This window comes from Homo sapiens, chromosome 22, assembly GCF_000001405.40.
Source record: "Homo sapiens chromosome 22, GRCh38.p14 Primary Assembly".
Taxonomy (NCBI): domain Eukaryota; kingdom Metazoa; phylum Chordata; class Mammalia; order Primates; family Hominidae; genus Homo; species Homo sapiens.
Window position 1 is genome coordinate 42,838,515 of NC_000022.11, and position 19,103 is coordinate 42,857,617.

At 46.8% G+C, this 19,103-nt stretch overlaps 1 protein-coding gene and 1 pseudogene across 3 annotated transcripts in view, besides 3 other annotated features; both read right to left on the bottom strand.

Annotated features, from left to right (window-relative positions):
- The window catches only part of ARFGAP3 (ARF GTPase activating protein 3), a 60,772-nt gene extending 42,013 nt beyond the window's left edge, over positions 1 to 18,759 (bottom strand). For all 3 annotated transcript variants that reach the window (NM_001142293.2, XM_005261525.5, NM_014570.5), the window contains exons 1-3: positions 18,600 to 18,759; positions 9,000 to 9,118; positions 2,430 to 2,502 (exon numbers count right to left, since the gene is read on the bottom strand). In NM_001142293.2, coding sequence (NP_001135765.1) covers positions 2,430 to 2,502; positions 9,000 to 9,118; positions 18,600 to 18,668 — 261 coding nt within the window. In that variant the 5' untranslated portion in view covers positions 18,669 to 18,759. The remainder of the gene's footprint in view (positions 1 to 2,429; positions 2,503 to 8,999; positions 9,119 to 18,599) is intronic.
- On the bottom strand, positions 14,568 to 15,426 carry COA1P1 (COA1 pseudogene 1; annotated as a pseudogene).
- Positions 17,918 to 18,762: an enhancer, noted in NCBI's record as "H3K27ac hESC enhancer chr22:43252438-43253282 (GRCh37/hg19 assembly coordinates)". NCBI's record gives its function as "activates a minimal SCP1, AML or CMV promoter by ChIP-STARR-seq in primed H9 embryonic stem cells {active_cell/tissue: H9 hESC(primed)}" and the evidence as "EXISTENCE:reporter gene assay evidence [ECO:0000049][PMID:30033119]".
- Positions 17,918 to 19,034: a biological region, named in NCBI's record as "H3K27ac hESC enhancer GRCh37_chr22:43252438-43253282".
- Positions 18,285 to 19,034: a silencer, noted in NCBI's record as "silent region_13844". NCBI's record gives its function as "represses an Ori minimal core promoter by ATAC-STARR-seq in GM12878 lymphoblastoid cells {active_cell/tissue: GM12878}" and the evidence as "EXISTENCE:reporter gene assay evidence [ECO:0000049][PMID:35858748]".

Consider the following 19,103-nt stretch of genomic DNA (forward strand, 5'->3'; position numbering starts at 1 on the left):
TTACACTCCTGGACTCAAGTGATCCTCTCGCCTCAGCCTCCCGAAGTGTTGGGATTCCAGGCACGAGCCACCATGCCTGGCCATAATTTTTATTTGAAATGCATACAAATTTGATTTCTTATACTTTAGCATATAAGAAACGCCTAAAGGAATTCCATTTACTCCATCTACACCATTTTGGCCTGATAAATAGGTTACCAGTGCTGTGCAAGATTTGGCTGGCTAGATTTGTAAGGCTGCCAGTTCAGTGTTTGAGATAATCAAATATACTGAATTTGTAAATAAAGTTTAAAATGTTTGAAAATCCTTAATTAGGCCGGGCGCGGTGGCTCATGCCTGTAATCCCAGCACTCTGGGAGGCTGAGGCGGGCGGATCACAAGGTCAGGTGATCGAGACCATCCTAGCTAACATGGTGAAACCCCGTCTCTACTAAAAATACAAAAAATTAGCTGGGTGTGGTGGCGGGCGCCTGTAGTCCCAGCTACTCGGGAGGCTGAGGCAGAAGAATGGCATGAACCTGGGAGGCAGAGGTTGCAGAGAGCTGAGATTGGGCCACTGCACTCCAGCCTGGGTGACAGAGCAAGATTCCGTCTCAAAAAAAAAAAAAGAAAAAAAAAAAAAAAGAAAATCCTTACTTAGGTTTGTAAATGGGGTTAAGGAAATCAGTTCTTTAAAATTATAAATTAATTGAATATTTTAAGGTTATTTTTTCACAGAACTTAACACACAGTATTTATGTTTGTGTTTAGAAATTAACACACAATATTTGCTATATTTAAAGACATGAAGAATGGGTTTTTTGGTCGGGTGCTGTGGCTCATGCCTGTAATTCCAGCACTTTGAGAGGCCAAGGCAGGCAGATCACTTGAGGTCAGGAGTTTGAGACCAGCTCGGCCAACATGGTGAAACCTCGTCTCTACTAAAAATACCAAAAAATCCAGGCATGGTGACGTGCACCTGTAGTCCCAGCTACTCAGGAGGCTGAGGCAGGAGAATCTCTTGAACCCGGGAGGTGGAGGTTGCAGTGAGCTGAGATGGCGCCACTGCACTCCAGCCTGGGCAACAGAGCCAAACTCTGTCTCAAAAAAAAAAAAAAAAGAATGGGTTTTTTAATTTGTAGATTTAAGAAGTTAAATATTAATTTAAATACAAGCATTCCATCCTAACCACAAAAGTCACCCCAGTTATTAAAAAACTATTATCATAAAGAAGCCTCCAGTTTCTCTGTACCCTCACTTCCTGTTTTAATTTTCTTAAAGCACTTATCACTGCCTGTTATTTTCCTGTGAACATATTTCTTTGATTACTCTCTGACTGCCCCTGTCTATAAGAGGGGATCTTGATTATTTTTATTTATAATAAAATATCCCCTATAAGAGGGGATATTGGTTATTTTAATTTATTATTTTGATAATCTATCAACTCACTCTATCTATCACTGATCTCACTCTATCAACCAGGCTGGAGCACAATGGTGCGATCTCAGCTCACTGCAACCTCTACCTCCCAGGCTCAAGAGATCCTCCCACCTCAGCCTCCCGAGTAGCTGGGACTACAGGTATGCACCACCATGATTTGCTAATTTTTGCATTTTTTGCAGAAACGGAGTTTTGTCATGTTGTCCAGGTCAGTCTTACATTCATGGGCTCAAGGCGATCTGCCTGCCTCAGCCTCCCAAAGTTCTAGGATTACAAGCATGAGCCACCGTGCCCAGCTGGGGATCTTGTTTGTCTTGTCTGTCACTATATCCCCAGCAGCTAGCCAACGCTTCCTGTTTATTAGGTGTTTAACAGATTTTTGAATAAACAAGTCAACTGGGTCTGTCCAACTCCAAAACCCATCAGGCTCTCTGCTTCTTCTCATAGGGCCTCCCAAACTTTCAAGTATTGAACTCTTTTTGTTTGTTTGTTTGTTTTTTTGGGATGGAGTCTCGCTCTGTCACCCAGGCTGGAGTGCAGTGGTGTGATCTCGGCTCACTGCAACCTCTGCCTCCCAGGTTCATGCAACTCTCCCGCCTCAGCCTCCCGAGTAGCTGGGATTACAGGTGTGCACCACCATACCCAGCTAATTTTTGTTATTATTATTTTTTTTTTAGTAGAGATGGGGTTCCACCATGTTGGCCAGGCTGGTCTCGAACTCTTGACCTCAAGTGATCCGCCCGCCTCAGCCTCCCAAAGTGTTGGGATTACAGGCGTGAGACACCACACCTGACTTGTTTGTTTTTTATAAACAGAGGGTCTTGCCATGTTGCCCAGGGTGGTCTTGAACTCCTGGGCTCCAGTGATCCTCCCAAACGCCTGTAATTTCAGCCTCCCAAATGGCTGAGATTACAGGCATGAGCCACTGCACCTAGCCTGAGCTTCTTTACTATTATAGCATAACAAATATTTAAACAAGAAGGAAAATGACGAGTTTGAGATGAACTTACTGCACTAGCGTTTCCTCCGACTTGCATGCATCGCAACTGAAACCATGACCAGTTGGAATCCAACTCTGTAGATCTAAATGGAAAGAATATTACTAACTGTTAATATTTTTTATCCCCAGGAGCAAAATCAGTGAGCTTTTGAGAACAAGGTTTCCTTAGGCTTTAGGATCCTAAAGAATTCTAAGTTTGTGTCAACAAGGACCCACACTTTTGGGATGCTAGGACTCCAGAGTGGATGATGGTTGGCGTGAGCAACCCCTGGCTCCTCTCGTCCTTCCTGGAATGCAGGGCACAGGGACATGACAAGTGTCAGCGGGCTGCTGGAACGACACCAACTCTTTGCCTCCCATCCTTGGTTGGATATGATTTGAAATTTGGTAATGTGTCTCTACTTGAAACAGATGCACTGTTTGGATGTTTTCAGGTCGGTGATCTACTTGTCCAGTTTGATCGCTACCAGAAGCTTGGAGGATGCTCATTCTCTTATCACAAGGTAGAAGAGACCTACCCAACATCACGACCAGCAGAGAGAGGAAAAAACACAAGATTTCATGCTCCTGAAGTGAAAGCTACAAGCACTTCCTGCCCCTTCCACACCTTATGCCTAACTTCTCTCCACTGTAAGATCAAATCTGAAACAAGTAAAGGCAGTGAGTATAGCCTCAACAATGCACATTCCCCAAGGGGTCGACGGTAAAGCAACAATGTTAGAATCTTTATACTGAATCCACAGAAATGAGCAAAAAGCAGAGGTTGTTATTCAGTAATAGCTTGCCCTACACTAACTGTAAAGGAATGTGGATATTTTAGAATGAGTATAGGCAGAATACCTTTTACAAAATGGGCAAGGAAGAAAGAAAAGAAAAGAAGCTTTAGGTCCACCAAAACTTTCCTTTGTGCTGCCCTTATATTTACTAATTTCTTTTTTTTTTTTTTTTGAGACAGGGTCTCACTCCATCACCCAGGAATGGAGTGGTGTGATCACAGCTCATTGCAGCCTCAACCAGGATTGCTCAAGCAATCCTCCTGTCTCAACCTCCCAAGTAGATGGTAGCTACCATGCCGGGCTTTTTTTTTTTTTTTTTTTTTGAGACGGAGTTGCCCCGGCTGGAGTGCAATGGTGCGATCTTGACTCACCGCAACCTCTGCCTCCTGGGTTCAAGTGATTCTCCTGCCTCAGCCTCCTGGGTAGCTGGGATAACAGGCAGGTGTCACTACGCCCGGCTAATTTTTGTATTTTTAGCAGAGACAGGGTTTCTTCATGTTGGTCAGGTTGGTCTCAAACTCCCGACCTTAGGTGATCCACCCACCTTGGCCTCCCAAAGTACTGTGATTACAGGCATGAGCCACCGTGCCTGGCCTTTTTTTTTTTTTTTTTTTTTTAAATAGAGATAGGGTCTTGTTATGTTGCCCAAGATGGTCTAGAACTCCTGGGCTCAGGCAATCCTCCCACCTCAGCCTCTCAGTGTTGGGATTACAGGTGTGAGCCACCATGCCCAGTGAACCATACCTTTTTTTTTTTGAGACACAGCCTCGTTCTGTTGCCCAGGCTAGAGTGCAGTGAGGCGATCTCAGCTCATGGTAATCTCTGCCTTCTGGATTCAAGCAATTCTTGTGCCCCAGCCTCCAGAGGTAGCTGGGATTAGAGGCGTGCGGAACCACACCTGGCTAATTTTCGTAATTTTAGTAGAGACGGGGTTTTGCCATGTTCGCCAGGCTAGTCTCGAACTCCTGGCCTCAAGCAATCCCCTCATCTCAGCCTCCCAAAGTGCATACCATTATTAATCTAGAGTTTTACTTATAGACAATCTCAGTAATTTCCCAGCCGCCCTTTGTTTATAACTTGTTTGATTACCTCTATAAGGTCATAAAAAGCGTTGCCTTTCTACGCCAACATCATAAAAAGGTTCTCCCCAGTGTCCACCGAGCAGGAGCCCAGATTCTGCCCTGGTCATCATCAACATGTTCTAGGGCTCACTATGTGCCAGGCTGTATGGGGCTCTCTTGCTCGCTCCTGCCAACACCCTGTACGGCAGGTCCTAGTATTCTCACCCTCACTTTCAAGAGAAGGAAAGCAAGACATTCAGAGGTAAGGAACACACCCAAGGCCAGGAAAGGACAGCTCAGATTTGCCTCCCCCCGACCCCCCAACCACATCCCCGCTCCTGCATCCTCAGCCTCGGTCCTCACCTCTTCCTGATGCTGTCTCCTGCTCTGCCCAGGCTGAGTCAGCCTCCCCACATGCCTCACCCCTCCAGGGCCTCAGGAGTGAACTTTTAGCTCCCAGTGTGGCAGCTAAAGCGCTCCACAATATGACACAGATCCTCTCCTTTCACCCTTACTTCTCTTTATTTTCCTATGCATACAAAAAGTCGCTACAAAGCATTTCGCTTTTTCCTGCTTTTATATCTGAAGGTCCGAGTGCTGACCTCAATTTTCCCTCCCTTGTCTCCATTATCTTTTTTTGTTGTCGTAGAGATGAGGTCTCACTATGTTGCCCAGGTTGGTCTTAAACTCCTGGGCTCAAGCTATCCTCCCACCCCGGCCTCCCAAGTGCTGGGATTACAGGCGCAAGCCACCATGCCCGGCCTTGTCTCCATTATCAAAACCTCACCAAACCTTCCAAGTTCATTGCAAATGTTACCTCTTTTAAACTTTGCCTTATTTTCCAACCAGAAGTGGGCACAGGACTTAGTTTCCATCTCTCATGCATAACTTTGCAGTCTATCTTCTTATTTACGTTGTATTTAAGCCTGTCCCTAACCCCAGGCCAACAAGATCGATGCAGGGATCCCATTCACCTTTAATAAGCTCATGAAATACGTAACGGCAAACTTGAGAAAAAACAGAGCTAGAGGGGAGGAGCAGCCTGAAACATGGAGATCCCAGCAATGGAGGTGAAAAGGGGCAGAGGTCAGTTCAATCTGGTCCACTCTGGGAGCAGTCAGCAACCAATGCAGTTTGCCCTCTCCATATACTCTTAATCTGCCTTCCCCCCTTTGCTTGGCAAAAGCCATAACTTATAAATTATTTTTCCTCTGTAAATTTGTTGACTTGAAATTCTAGTTAAAGAAAAAAAACTCCAGTTAAATATGCACACCACCCATGCCACACAGGAAGCAGTGCATGTGTGTGTGTCTGGCAGTGGGAGGGGAAGAAGAGGGGAAAAGTATTCTAGAGGAGAGACTTTATATATTTTGGGGCTGCTTGGATTTTTTCCCAATTAGCTAGTGGTTTTTTTTGTTTCTTTTTTTGGTGGTGGTTGTTGTTGTTTTTTGAGTCAGGGTCTTTGTTCTGTCACCCAGACTGAAGTGAAGTGGTGAGATCATAGCTCACTGCAGCCTCAAACTCCCATGCTCGGCTAGGTGCTGTGGCTCATGCCTGTAAACCCAGCACTTTGGGAAGCTGAGGTGGGTGGATCACATGAGGTCAGGAGTTCAAGACCAGCCTGGCCAACATGGTGAAACCCCGTCTCTAGTAAAAATACAAAAATTAGCTGGGTGTGGTGGCACACACCTGTAATCCCAGCTACTTCGGAGGCTGAAGCAGGAGAATTGCTTGAACCCGGGAGGCGGAGGTTGCAGTGAGCTGAGATCATGCCATTGCACTCCAGCCGAGGGGATAGAGTGAGACTCTGTCTCAAAGGAAAAAAAAAAAAAAAAAATAAAAAACCCAAAAAACTCCCAAGCTCAAGTGATGTTTCCACCTTGGCCTCCCAAAGTGCTGGGATTACAGGTGTGAACCACTATGTCCGGCCCCTCAGTTTTTTTTAAGGAATAAAAATGTTTAAAGAATAGCTCTTCTCTGCCTTAAAAATAACAACAAAAACAATACTGAGTACTTTCTCATCCTTGACTTTTTCTTGCCCAAATCCTAGACTCCTGCCCTAAGGTTGTATCATGAATTTTAATTGCTGTTTTTGAATCATTTACAAGCATTGTGACTCATACAGTTCTATTTATCTGACTTTTAAAAGGTCAGTGATTAAACCTGCAATGGCCCAAACAGATCCTGCTGTACTGCCCCTCAGGCTCTAGGTCACTCCTTCCCTCACGGAGGAACACATCATAAAACCACCCGATTTCCTGGAATGGCTTAAACTGGAAGTATTCTTTAGCGATGAGGAAGAAGGAGAGGTTATAATGGGCGAGACTTAGCAGAAAGAAAGAGGGAAAGAACACAGTAAAGACAGAAGGAAGAGAAGTAACTAGGTATTGCCTTGAGTCTAGTCTTCATCTGCTCTGGGCAGAGTAGGTTACCATAAGTTAACTGGTAATGATCAATCTGGAAAACAAAGTACATTAAAAACAAGCTTTAGCCGGGGTAATCCCAGCACTTTGGGAGGCCGAGGCGGGCAGATCACCTGAGGTCAGGAGTTCAAGACCAACCTGGCCAACACGGCGAAACTCTGTCTCTACTAAAAGTACAAAACTTAGATGGACGTGGTGGCACATGCCTGTAATCCCAGCTACTTAGGAGACTGAGGGCAGGAGAATCATTTGAATCTGGGAGGCGGAAGTTGAGGTGAGCCAAGATCGTGCCACTGCACCCCAGCCTGGGTGACAAAGCAAGACTCCATCTCAAAAAAAAAAAAAAACCCAAAACAACAACAACAAAAAAAAACCCCAAGTTTGATTCAATGGGGAAAAGACAGTCTTTTCAACAAATGGTGATGGAAAAACTAGGTATCCGCATACAAAAGAATGAAGTTGAACTCTTACCTGACATTGTGAACAAAAATTAATTCAAAATGAATCAAAGACTTAAAGGTAAGACCTAAAACTATAAAACTCTTAGAAGAAAACAGAAGGCAAGGCCAGGCACAGTGGCTCACGCCCGTAATCCCAACACTTTGGGAGGACGAGGGGGGTGGATCACAAGGTCAGGAGATCAAGACCATCCTGGCCAACAAGGTGAAAGCCCATCTCTACTAAATATACAAAAATTAGCTGAGTGTGGTGGCGCGCACTTGTAATCCCAGCTACTTGGGAGGCTGAGGCAGGAGAATCGCTTGAACCCAGGAGGTGGAGGTTGCAGTGAGCTGAGATCGCGCCATTGCACTCCAGCTTGGGCGACAAGAGCAAAACTCCATCTCAAAAAAAAAAAAAAAAAAAAAAAGACAAAGAATCATAATAGATTTTATCTTATAGAAACAAATGCTCCTTTTTAATAATCACGTTCTATCAATATTTCGATATTCCTTAAGTCATAATATAAGATTGCTTGCCACAATTCCAGATGGGCAGCCTAGCTGGTTCCTTCCCTAGAAAAGATGGAGTAGGGAAATCTCTGGAAATTGTCTGGGGGAGGCAGCAATGACTAAGCCATGGCTGTTTGAGGGTGCTCTGCACAAGTTGTCCTGGCAAGGGCCTGTGGCAGGTGACAGGCAGGCCTTGCTTAGCTTCCAAGCCCTGGGGATCTTTCCATTATTTCTTTTATTATTTCAATTTATTTCACTTCACAAATAGTCCTGCCTCCCACTGGACTGTGGGGTTATCCCATCAGACTGTCAGTCCAAAGGTGGTGTCTTCTTCTGATGCAAAAGGCCCCATATGGGCTATTGCCATAGAGTATCAGAAGTAGAAGACGGTTTACTCACCAGAGGGGCCAATGCAGCCCAAGTCTTCAGATAAAAGGAGAAAAAAGACCTTCATGTTATAAACATTTGAAACTGCCACTAAAAATCATTCACTCAGGCTTTGTGATATTAGTGTCCTTGGAAGCCAGAGCTATAAGATTACGGTGGAAGTGAAGCCCTGATACAAGGAGAGTGTCTCATCATTGACATAAACTCTCCACTTTGGAGGACATAGGACAGACCCACAGCACCTGATTCCCCTTCTCCCATGAGTCTGTACTTTGTACTGCCGAATTATTAGAAGATGATTGACATAAATCGGTTTTTCATTGCTTGTAACAGAATTCCTGAAACTGGGTAATTTATAAAGAAAAGAAGTTGATTTCTTACAGTTAAGGAGGCTGAGAAGACCAAGGTCAAGGGGCTACATCTGGTAAGAACCTTCTTACTGGTTGGACTCTGTAGAGTCCAGAGGCAGCATCGCCTAGTGAGAACGCTGAGCGTGCTAGCTCAGGTCTCTCCTCCTTTTCCTATAAAGCCGCTTACATGATAACCCATTAACCCATACCAATGAGGGCTCAATCAATTCTTAAAGGCCTCACCTTTTAATACTGTATGGCAACACTGAAAATCACATTTCTTTCTTTCTTTTTTTTTTTTTTAAGAGACAGGGTCTTACTCTGTCGCCCAGGCTGGAATGCAGCGGCAAGATCATAGTTCACTGCAGCCTTGACTCCTGGGCTTAAGTGATCCTCCCACTTCAGCCTCCTGAGTAACTAGGACTAGAGTTATACATCATCACACCACAACATTTTTTATTTTTTGTAGAGGCTGAGTTCACTTGAGCCCAGTGAGCTATGATGGCACTCCTGCAGCCAAGGTGACAGGCGACAAGGCAAGACACTGTCTCAAAAAAAGAAAAGAAAAAAGGGAAAAAAACACCCATGTAACAATGTAATCAATCTCACCCCAATGAGAGAAGATTCACTTACCGAATAAAACTCAAGTGAACACCAAGTGACCGGTGGGACCCTGAGCAATCAATGCAAAGGAACACTCCATAGGTTATGCTTGCCCAGCTGGGATTTTTGGCACCACAATCAAAACACACCTGAAAAAAAATGTTAAATTCAGTTACTAATTTATGTTAGCCAAATAAATTATCCTGTAAGATACAGTAAATGACTTAGCTTGAAAACTGTTTAACCTTTACAATGTAAACTTTGGGATTGTATTATTAGAAAATATCTCACCTAGGTTTTTTTAAAAGCCTCAAATTTCATGCTCTTTTATTATTATATATAATTATATTAATTATAAATTAGTATAGTTAATTACTATATTATGTATTTTTTTATTCTGAGACAGAGTTTCGCTCTGTCACCCAGGCTGGAGTGCAATGGTGCAATCTCGGCTCACTGTAACCTCTGCTTTCCAGGTTCCATTGATTCTCCTGCCTCAGCCTCCGGAGTAGCTGGGACTACAGGCTCACACCACTATACCCAACTAATTTAGTACTTTTAGTAGAGATGGGGTTTTACCATGTTGGACAGGCTGGTCTCGAATTCCTGACCTCAGGTGATCTGGCAGCCTCGGCCTCCCATAGTGTTGGGATTACAGGCACGAGCCACTGTGCCCAGTTTACTACATGATTTATACAGTATATTACAGATTATGTTATATATATATTTATCTATTTATTTTTGAGACGGAGTCTCGCTCTGTCGCCCAGGCTGGAGTGCAGCGGCACGATTTCGTCTCACTGCAAGCTCCGCCTCCCAGGTTCATGCCATTCTCCTGCCTCAGCCTCCTGAGTAGCTGGGACTACAGGCGCCCGCCACCGCACCCGGCTAATTTTTTGTATATTTAGTAGAGATGGGGTTTCACCGTGTTAGCCAGGATAGTCTCGATCTCCTGACCTCGTGATCCACCCGCCTTGGACTCCCAAAGTGCTGGGATTACAGGCGTGAGCCACCGCGCCCGGGCTATCATGTATATATTTTAACAATGCACACTATACATAGTGAAGAGAATTTAGGTTTGTGTACCATCTCAAACATGCCTTATCCTTGAAGCATCAGCAGGGATCCTACCAGTCATGTAAAGGAATGCTAGTGAGGGAAGCAGCCCTGCCTAGAAACACTCCAGCCCTACCATCCTTCCTGGCAGTGGCTATACCAGATGGCAGGCTGTTGAGCATATTGCTTCTCTCCCCAGCCAGAGGAAGAGGTTGTGGCAGCCAGACTCCAAGATGGCCCCAGTGAAACCCACCTCCTGGTATTTGCATCCCGTGTAATCTCCACCACCCTCACTTTACCAAGGTGATCTGTGTGTCTATGTGTATATGGCAGAAATGACCATGTCATTTTTGAGATTGGGTTACAAATGACACTATGGCCTTTTCCTGTCTCCCCCACTCTCTTTTTCTCTCTCCCCCTCTCTCCCTCCCCACCTTGGATCACTAGCTCTAGGGGAAGCCAGGTGCCATGTCTTGAGGACACTCAGGTTGCCCTGTGGAGAGGGTGAAGTGCTGAGGAGTTGAGGCCCCCAGTCCAACTGCCAGCGAGGAGAGGAGGCCTGCCAACCACCATGTGAGTAAGCTCCCAGATGACCTCAGCCCTGGGCCAACAGCTTGACTGCAGCCTCATGAAAGACCCTGGGTCAGAAGCAGCCAGCTAAGTCACCCCCAAATTCCTGACCCTCAGAACTATCTGTTGTTTTATGATGCCAAGTTGGGGGTGATCTGATACACAGCAATAGATGACTAATACAGAGAGATATTCCTTTATGAAATGCTGTGCCCTTCTCTACCTCCACTGCCTCACTCTGTCCAGGTCACTTTGATAACTCTTAGATGCAGGTTCATAACCGAGGACTACGTTCCCTGCCCACTGAGGGCACTGAGAGCTCTTACAGGGGTAGAATCTTTCCCTTTTGCTAATCTTTATGGCTTTTTTTCTTTTTTTTTTAAGGAGACAAGGTCTGGCTCTCACCTAGGCTGGAGTGCAGTGGCACGGTCCTAGCTCGCTGCTTTATGGCTTTTTTTTTTTTTTTTTTAAAGAGACAAGGTCTGGCTCTGTCACCTAGGTTGGAGTGCAGTGGCACGGTCCTAGCTCACTGCAGTCTCGAACTCTTGAGCTCGAGCCATCCACCCCCCTCAGCCTCCTAAGCAGTTAGGACAAGTGTATGCCACCGTGCCCAGATTTTTTTTTTTCTTTTGTAGAGATGGGGGTCTTGCTATGTTGCCTAAGCTGGTCTTGAACGCCTGGGCTCAAGCAATTTGGGCCCTCTCGGCCTCCCAAAATGCTAGGATTACAGGTGTGAGCCACCACGTCCGGCTCCTGTCACCTTACTTTCCTGTCCACTAGCACAGAACCTGCACATGGTAAACGCACAATAAGTGTTTGCTGAATAGTTGTGTACTTTTAAATCTCACACACAGCCTGAAAAATAGGCTTACCCATGGTAAGCATTCAGTAAATATTTGTTACTCAAAAGAATAACTTTAAAAACGTATTGCCAGCTCAAAAATTACTAGCCCCTTCAACACTGACACTGAAGCCCAACAGGAGCATAAAAGTACTTTAAAATACACAGTGCTAACTAGCAGAGTCACGCGTCGGAAGTGTGCTGGGCCCATAAAATACACAGTGCTTGTTGTGGAAAGTAGTATTTATAACTCATTAAACTCCGAATAGGGAAAAAATTCCTCTAATAGAGGTGTTTTTAATCTTTTTGCAGGAAAAAAAAATACATATTAGATATATAGGCTGGGTGCAGTGGCTCACACCTGTAATCCTAGCACTTTGGGAGGCCAAGGCAGGTAGATCGCTTGAGCTCAAGAGTTTGAGACCAGCCTGGGCAACATGGCGAAACCCTATCTCTACCAAAAAATTAAAAAAATTAGCCGGCGTGGTGGAACGTGCCTGTAGTCTCAGCTACTCAGGAGTTTGAGGTGAGAGGATCGCTTGAGCCTGGGAGGCGGAGGATGCAATGAGCGGAGACCACTCCACTGCACTCCAGCCTCAGCAACAGTGAGACCCTGCTATCAAAAAAAAAAAAAAAAAAAAAAAAAAGATATACTTTATAGGCAGAATCACTTATGTGAAGGTTGTCCAACCTATCATTATCAAGCAAGATCTGGCTTCTGGTCTTTTCAGGGCAATACAAGGGCAATACAAGAGAGGAAACACGAGTGGGTTTTCTAAAGCCCCTCACCACAATATGCTCACACTGATCGCACACTGAATAATCGGGGTGGAGTGACAACTGACACAAAAAGAGGCCAGGAGATTTACTTTGGTGTTTACTGATCACCTGCTGTATGTCAGACATGTGACAGGTGATGAGGTATGAAAAAGTAGCAGCACAAACACTAGCTGAACGCTTATTGGTGCTAGTCTTTAAAGAGCTCACTGAGAAGTGGGGAAGACAGACGCGCAAATTCAAACGCCCTGTGGTGATGGCCATTAGGAGAACCCTCTTCTGTGGGGCATCAAACAAAACGACAGACTCTGCCAAAAGGTGCTGTTCTTCCCCGTCAGGCTGTGTGTAATTTCTCACCTAGTTACTCAACTACCAGTTGCTGTGCACTTACCATCAAGTGTACCTGGCACATACCAAGTGGACATACCAGCGTGGTTCAGGAAGTCTGCCCACATGGAGCCCACAGTCTAGCAGTCCAGTGGGCAAGACAATTAGTTACAAGATTGTTTCCTAGTAAGCAAGGACAGGATGCAAAGGGTTTTTGGTAGAGGTGATGGCAGAGATTTTGGGTACACAGCCCAGAGCAGGCCAAGTTTGAGAATCACTTCTGAGGTGGTCACCAGACTGGCTACAAGAAGAGAGCAGTGAGGTTCCTAATGAGGCAGGCAGCTTTGGCATCCTCCGGACCCATCACCTAAGCTAAGGGATTGCTAAAATGTAGCCCCATGAGGGGGGGGCCATGTCTACCTTATTCACCTGAGCTTGGCACCATGCCTGGCACAACACAGGTGCTCACTAAATGCGAATGCACATGGTGGAGCAGTTTATAGGGGTAGAGGAGCTAACAAGTGGAGACTGGGACGTGTGGAGGTCAGAAGTGGTGAGAAATACAGGTCTGGCTCCCATAAATGCTGCCTTGATCCTCCTGCTATACCAGGAGGCTATGCTTTGGAAGCAGGGACTGCGCTTTGATTTGATATGCAATCCCAAACCAAAGTCAAGATGTGGCTTTTAAAGCAGAACATCAGTTCTTATGGTGATGAGCAAGAAATAGCTTTTGACTGACAATTTGTTTTGTTTAATGATGAGAATAATTAGTATACAAATAATAATAACAGCTAATATTGAGTGTTTAATTCAGGCACTATTGTTGGCACTTTAGCCAATTTCATCTTCCTAACAACGCTTTCATTAGTAGGGTACTAGTAGAAGGTACTATGATCATCCCCATCAGGGCCAGCTTCCTGGGCATGTGTGTGATCTATGCAGTCGCAGAGGGCCCCACACTTAGAATAAAAGAGTGTGTGATTGGCTTAATGCTCTGCTGTCTCATCTTGAAATTCTTTTTTTTTTTTTTTGAGATAGGGTCTCATGCTGGAGTATATGATATGATCTCGACTCACTTCAACCTCTGCCTCCCGAGCTCAAGCAATCCTCCCACCTCAGCCTCCCGAGCAGCTGGGACCACAGGCATGAGCCACCATGCATGGCTAATTTTAATTTTTTTTTTTGGTAGAGATGAGGTTTCACCATGTTGCCCAGGCTGGTGTCAAACTCCTGAGCTCAAGCTATTCATCTGCCTCGGCCTCCCAAAGTGCTGGGATTACAGGCGCCACCGCGCCTAGCCTCATCTTGAAATTCTTTTTTTTTGAGATAGGGTCTCGCTCTGTCGCCCACTCTTGAGTGCAATGGCGTGATCTTGGTTCACTGCAACCTCCGCCTCCTGGGTTCAAGCAACTCTCCTGTCTCAGCCTCCCGAGTAGTTGGGATTACAGGCACATGGCACCACGCCTGGCTAATTTTTTGTATTTTTAGTAGAGATGGGGTTTCACCATGTTGCCCAGGCTGGTCTCGAACTCCTGAGCTCAGATGATCCACCCACCTTGGCCTCCCAAAGTGCTAGGATTACAGGTGTGAGCCACTGTGTCTGGCCGAAATTCTTAATACTGTTCAAACAAGGGCCCTGCATTTTCATTTTGTACATTTCACAAATTATGTAGCTAGTCTTGATCTCCATTTTATTTATTTAATTTTATTTTATTTGTGTGTGCGTGTGAGATGGAGTCGCTCTCTGTTGCCCAGGCTGGAGTGCAGTGGCGTGACCTTGGTTCACTGCAACCTCTGCTTCCTGGATTCAAGCGATTCTCCTGCCTCAGCCTCCCGAACAGCTGAGATTACAGGCACTCGCCATCATGCCCAGCTAATTTTTGTATTTTTGTAGAGACGGGGCTTCATCATGTTGGCCAGGCTGGTCTTGAACTCCTGACCTCAGGTGATCCACCCGCCTCAGCCTCCCAAGGTACTGGGGTTACAGGCGTGAGCCACCGCGCCCGGCCTATTTATTTGTTTTTTAAATCAATGAATGTTTTCTTAATTCTGATTCCTTTTATCATGTGCTTTCTTAAACAAAGAACTTTCACATAAATTATCTTATAATAAGAGTTTCTTTCTGATTCAGTTTAAAAATGACAATAGCATTCGTTGTGCCCAAGTTAGAATTATACCAAAATTACCATATGCCAGCACATACAATCATTCCACTGGTGGCTGGAAAATTAGCTTACGGGAGTGTCTGTCACTCAGATGGGCCATCACCCCTGGTGGGCACATGGTGGAGATAAGGGAAGGCCAGACTAGAAGAAAGCTGGGTCTTTTGGATCGTTTCTACTCCTTTTTCACTTCTTCACCATTCTCCCCACTGAGCTTGAACAAGGGAATCTGCTGGCCATCCTTGGGCTCTAGGAAGACCTCATCAAGGTGCCACCTCTGAAAGGGGCACTTCTGGATGAGCTGACATGGAGATGGCCCTCTGACTTGGATCCAGAGCTAGGAATCTTCAACTTGGCATCAGCAATGTCCACAAAGTTGTGCTTGGTGAGTTTGAGACAGTGAATGTTGAGAAGAGGGCCCAGAGCTCCCTGTGCCTTGGGATGGCTATGCACCTGCTCCAATGCCAACTGGTAATACAAAGCCCTGGAAAAAGTCTTTTGTATGCGGTAATACACAAGGGCCAAGCCCCCAGTACCGAACACATTGCCGAAAAGGACCATTTTTTCCTTGAGGCACTGGCATCCTGCTGCCTGGATACTTTTGCCACCTCACAGCACAACTCTCTTGAAAATCATCAAAGGCAAGTTGTTCTGTAAGCGACAGAAGCACCATGCTGCAGAGAGCATGAGGAGCCCTTCCGGGCGTGGGATGGTGGCGGTAAATCTTGATCTCCATTTTAAAGAAAACTAAGGAATTACTGAATTAAGTATGACAGATAAGAAGTGGCCACTGCTTAGTAATTCCTTAGTGGAAATGCCCACAATGGGGACTGGATCCCATGCAGTCTGTTCCCAGAGCCACTCTTCCCGCTCCACCACACTGTGCTTCAGAGCAGAAAACATACCACCTGCCGTCCTGCATCTGCCCTTCATCTGTCCACTAGACTATAAGTTCCCTGAGGACAGGAACATACCATCAGTGTACATACCTTTCATGCTCTACACAGTGCCCAGCATAGCATAGGTGCTTAATGAATACTTGTTGAATGAATAACCCAATCTATATAAAAGTAAGGAATGGTATAGCAACAAAGAAGGATTTCCACAAACAAGAAAATTCACCCTTGGCCAGGTGCGGTGGCTCACGCCTGTAATCACAGCACTTTGGGAGGCTGAGACAGGCGGATCACTTTAGGTCAGGAGTTTGAGACCAGCCTGGCCAATATGGTGAAACTCCATTACTACTAAAAATACAAAAATTAGCCATGCGTGATGGCACACGCCTGTAGTCCCAGCTACTCAGGAGGCTGATGCAAGAGAATCGCTTGAACCTGGGAGGAGGAGGTCGCAGTGTGCCAAGATCGCACCACTGCACTCCAGACTGGACAACAGAGCTAGACTGTCTCAAAAGAAAAAAAAAAAGAAAGAAAAAGAAAAAAGAGAATTGACCCTCATGACCTTTGATCTAGAGTAAATCATCATACATGAGACGAAGAAATTGGATACCATGTTCTAAAAGTAAGCCGACTTGTTTTTCTTTGATTACCTTTCCTGGCTCATGTATCTTAGAGCTGTCTTTTATGACCCCAATTTTAAAATGCTATTGTTATCTTCGTTTAGGTAAGGGTTTCAAACCAATGATCAAATAAAAGGTCTCAACCAAGAAATATAGCACATTACTGTTAAACATTACCAGAAAACATTTTTGCTCATTGCTTTTATTAATCTTATTACAGAATATAAATTTTTCACAGGTGTGTTCTTCATCATAAAAACAGCTGCCATTTATTGAAGACTATTATATGCAGTTCCTACTCTAAGTGTTTTTCTTGGATTATTCCATTTAATCTTCACAATAACCCTCTGAGTCAGGTCTAGTTCATGCCCCATTTTCAGAGGAGGAAAAAAGGGACAAAGTGGTCAAGTAACCTGTCCAAGGGTGACATACCTAGAAAGTAGCAGTTTGGACAATACAAGCCTGTCTCTCAAAAGCCTCTTGATATAAAGACATTGATTTCTAATTTAAAATTATCTTTGAATTAAATCAAAGAGAATACATGTTGATGTTTCTGAGATAAAGGTGACAAAAAAATATAGTTTACACATTGCTAACCGCAGATCCTAATCTTGACTAAGTTACACAGGACCCACTCTTTATAAACACATCAATCTAAATTTAAAAATCAAGGCTGGGCGCGGTGGCTCACGCCTGTAATCCCAGCACTTCAGGAGGCCGAGGCGGGTGGATCACTTGAGGCCAGGAGTTTGAGACCAGAGTGACTGACATGGTGAAACCTCGTCTCTACTAAAAATATAAAAATTACTTGAGTGTAGTGGTGGATGCCTGTAATCCTGGCGACTCAGGAGGCTGAGGCAGAATTGCTCAAACCCAGGAGGCAGAGGTTGCAGTGAGCTGAGATCGCACCACTGCACTCCAGCCTGGGCGACAGAGCAAGGCTCTGTCTCAAAAAAATTAAAATTAAAACGTTAAAAAAAAAAAAAAGAACATTAAGGCCAGCATGGTGGCTCATGCCTGTAATCCTAGCACTCTGGGAGGCCAAGGCAGGAGGAGGCAGGAGGACTGCTTGAGCCCAGGAATTTGACACCAGCACGGGCAACATAGCAAGACCCTGTCTCTACAAAAATTAATTAATTAATTAATTAATAATAACAATTAGCTGGGCGTGGTGGTACAGCCCTGTGGTGTCAGCCTCATCAGGAGGCTGGGAAGGAAGGATGGCTTGGGCTGGGTAGGTCAAGGCTGCAGTGAGCTAGGATCAAGGCACTACACTTCAGCCTGGGTGACGGGGTGAGACCCTGTCTCTAAAAAAATAAATAAATAAAAATGTGAAAATCAAGAGAACAGTAAAGAAACGGGCACTGGAGAATTCCTGGAGCCTTTCTCTTAACTTTCCCACATCCATCAGACATCACCTCCAATAAACTGTTTCCTTCCTCACCTAGGCTGGAAAAAATATGGGCTCCCCTGTACCATCAAGACTTAAAACCAACAGAAACACCTATTTTGTAACACTCGGGAACTTTCTATGCCAGCATATCGAGGTTCAATAACAGCTGTTCCCTTCGGGAAGTGACAGTGGGAACCAGACAACACTCGTGTCACAGGAGGGGCGGGGAGAGCCCACGCTGACGCGACAGCCCTTTGCACTCTCCAAGTCCCTCTCCGACCCGACGTGTCACCTTAGCCCCCTGCGTCACCCCAACGCCTCCAGCCAGCTGCGCAAAGCTGTAAAAGTTCCAGGGAGAGAACAGCCTCTGGAGACAAAAAAAAAAAGGAAACCTCCATCTCCAAAGAGAACCGAGGAGAGGGAGGAGGCTGTGGTGAGCCTCCCTGGCCAAAGCGACAAAAGCTGGAAGCCAAAGCGTAGACTACTCGGCAACTTTATCAGAAGAGAAACTGAGGCAGGCACCGCAAGGCCCGAGGAGCCAAGCCGGCTCCAACAGGCGGGGTCGAGCTCCAGGGTGGCGCTGGGGGAGCCGCGCTTTCCCCGCATCCGGCGCCAGCAGCCGGGGTTTCCGAGCCGGGAGCTCCCTCCTCGCAGCGCCCCCGAGGATGCCCCCGCCCCCGCCTCCGCTCAGAGCCGCCGGTGCTCGCCCCCCGCCCCAAGAGCTCGCCGGGGGGTGTGCCCGCGCCGCCGCCCCCGGGAACGCTCCCCGGCTCGCGTGAGGACCCCCGCGCTGCGGCCTCCCGCCCGGGCCTCTCAGCTGCCCGGCCCCGCCCGCCCCGGCCCGGCCAGGCTGCCGCGGCCCCACAGTGCGACGTGTCACAGGCCGCGCCGGCCCCGCCTCCCAAGCCACGGGCACTGGCGCCCGCGGGGCCTCCCGCCGGTTCCCGCAGGGATGCCAGGCAGGCCCGCACTCGCCCGCGGCCGCTACCTTGTTAGTGGGCACCGAGCGGAGGCGCTTGAAGATGGTCAAGATGTCCTGCTTGCTGGGGTCCCCCATCGTCAGCTGTGAGCCGCGGCGCAGCTGGCCCAGCCAACCGGTAAGAGTCGACGAAAAGCGGCTACCGCCTCAGCAGGAGCGACGAGGCCGCGGGGGCGGGGCTGCGCGTAACGGTCAGGCTCCGCCCCAATCCCCGCCCACGACCGGGCCCGTCCACCGCCGGGGCGCAGGCGCCGCTCGCTTTCCCTCCCCGCCCTCGCTTCAGCCGCGCCGCTGGCCCGACCCCAGGCGCTGCACGCGCGTGCGCAGGAGGCTCGCGCGCCATTTGCGGCGCGGCTCCACGCCCTTAGCGCTGGGCGAAGCCGGGCCCGGGTGTGGCTGCCTGCCACGCGCGCTGCCATAGGATCCACCAACGTTTCGCCTGGTCGATCGCCATTTCGCCTAACGGGCTGCTTCCATGGAAAGGTCAGAGGCAGGGGAAGGGGCGCACGCGCC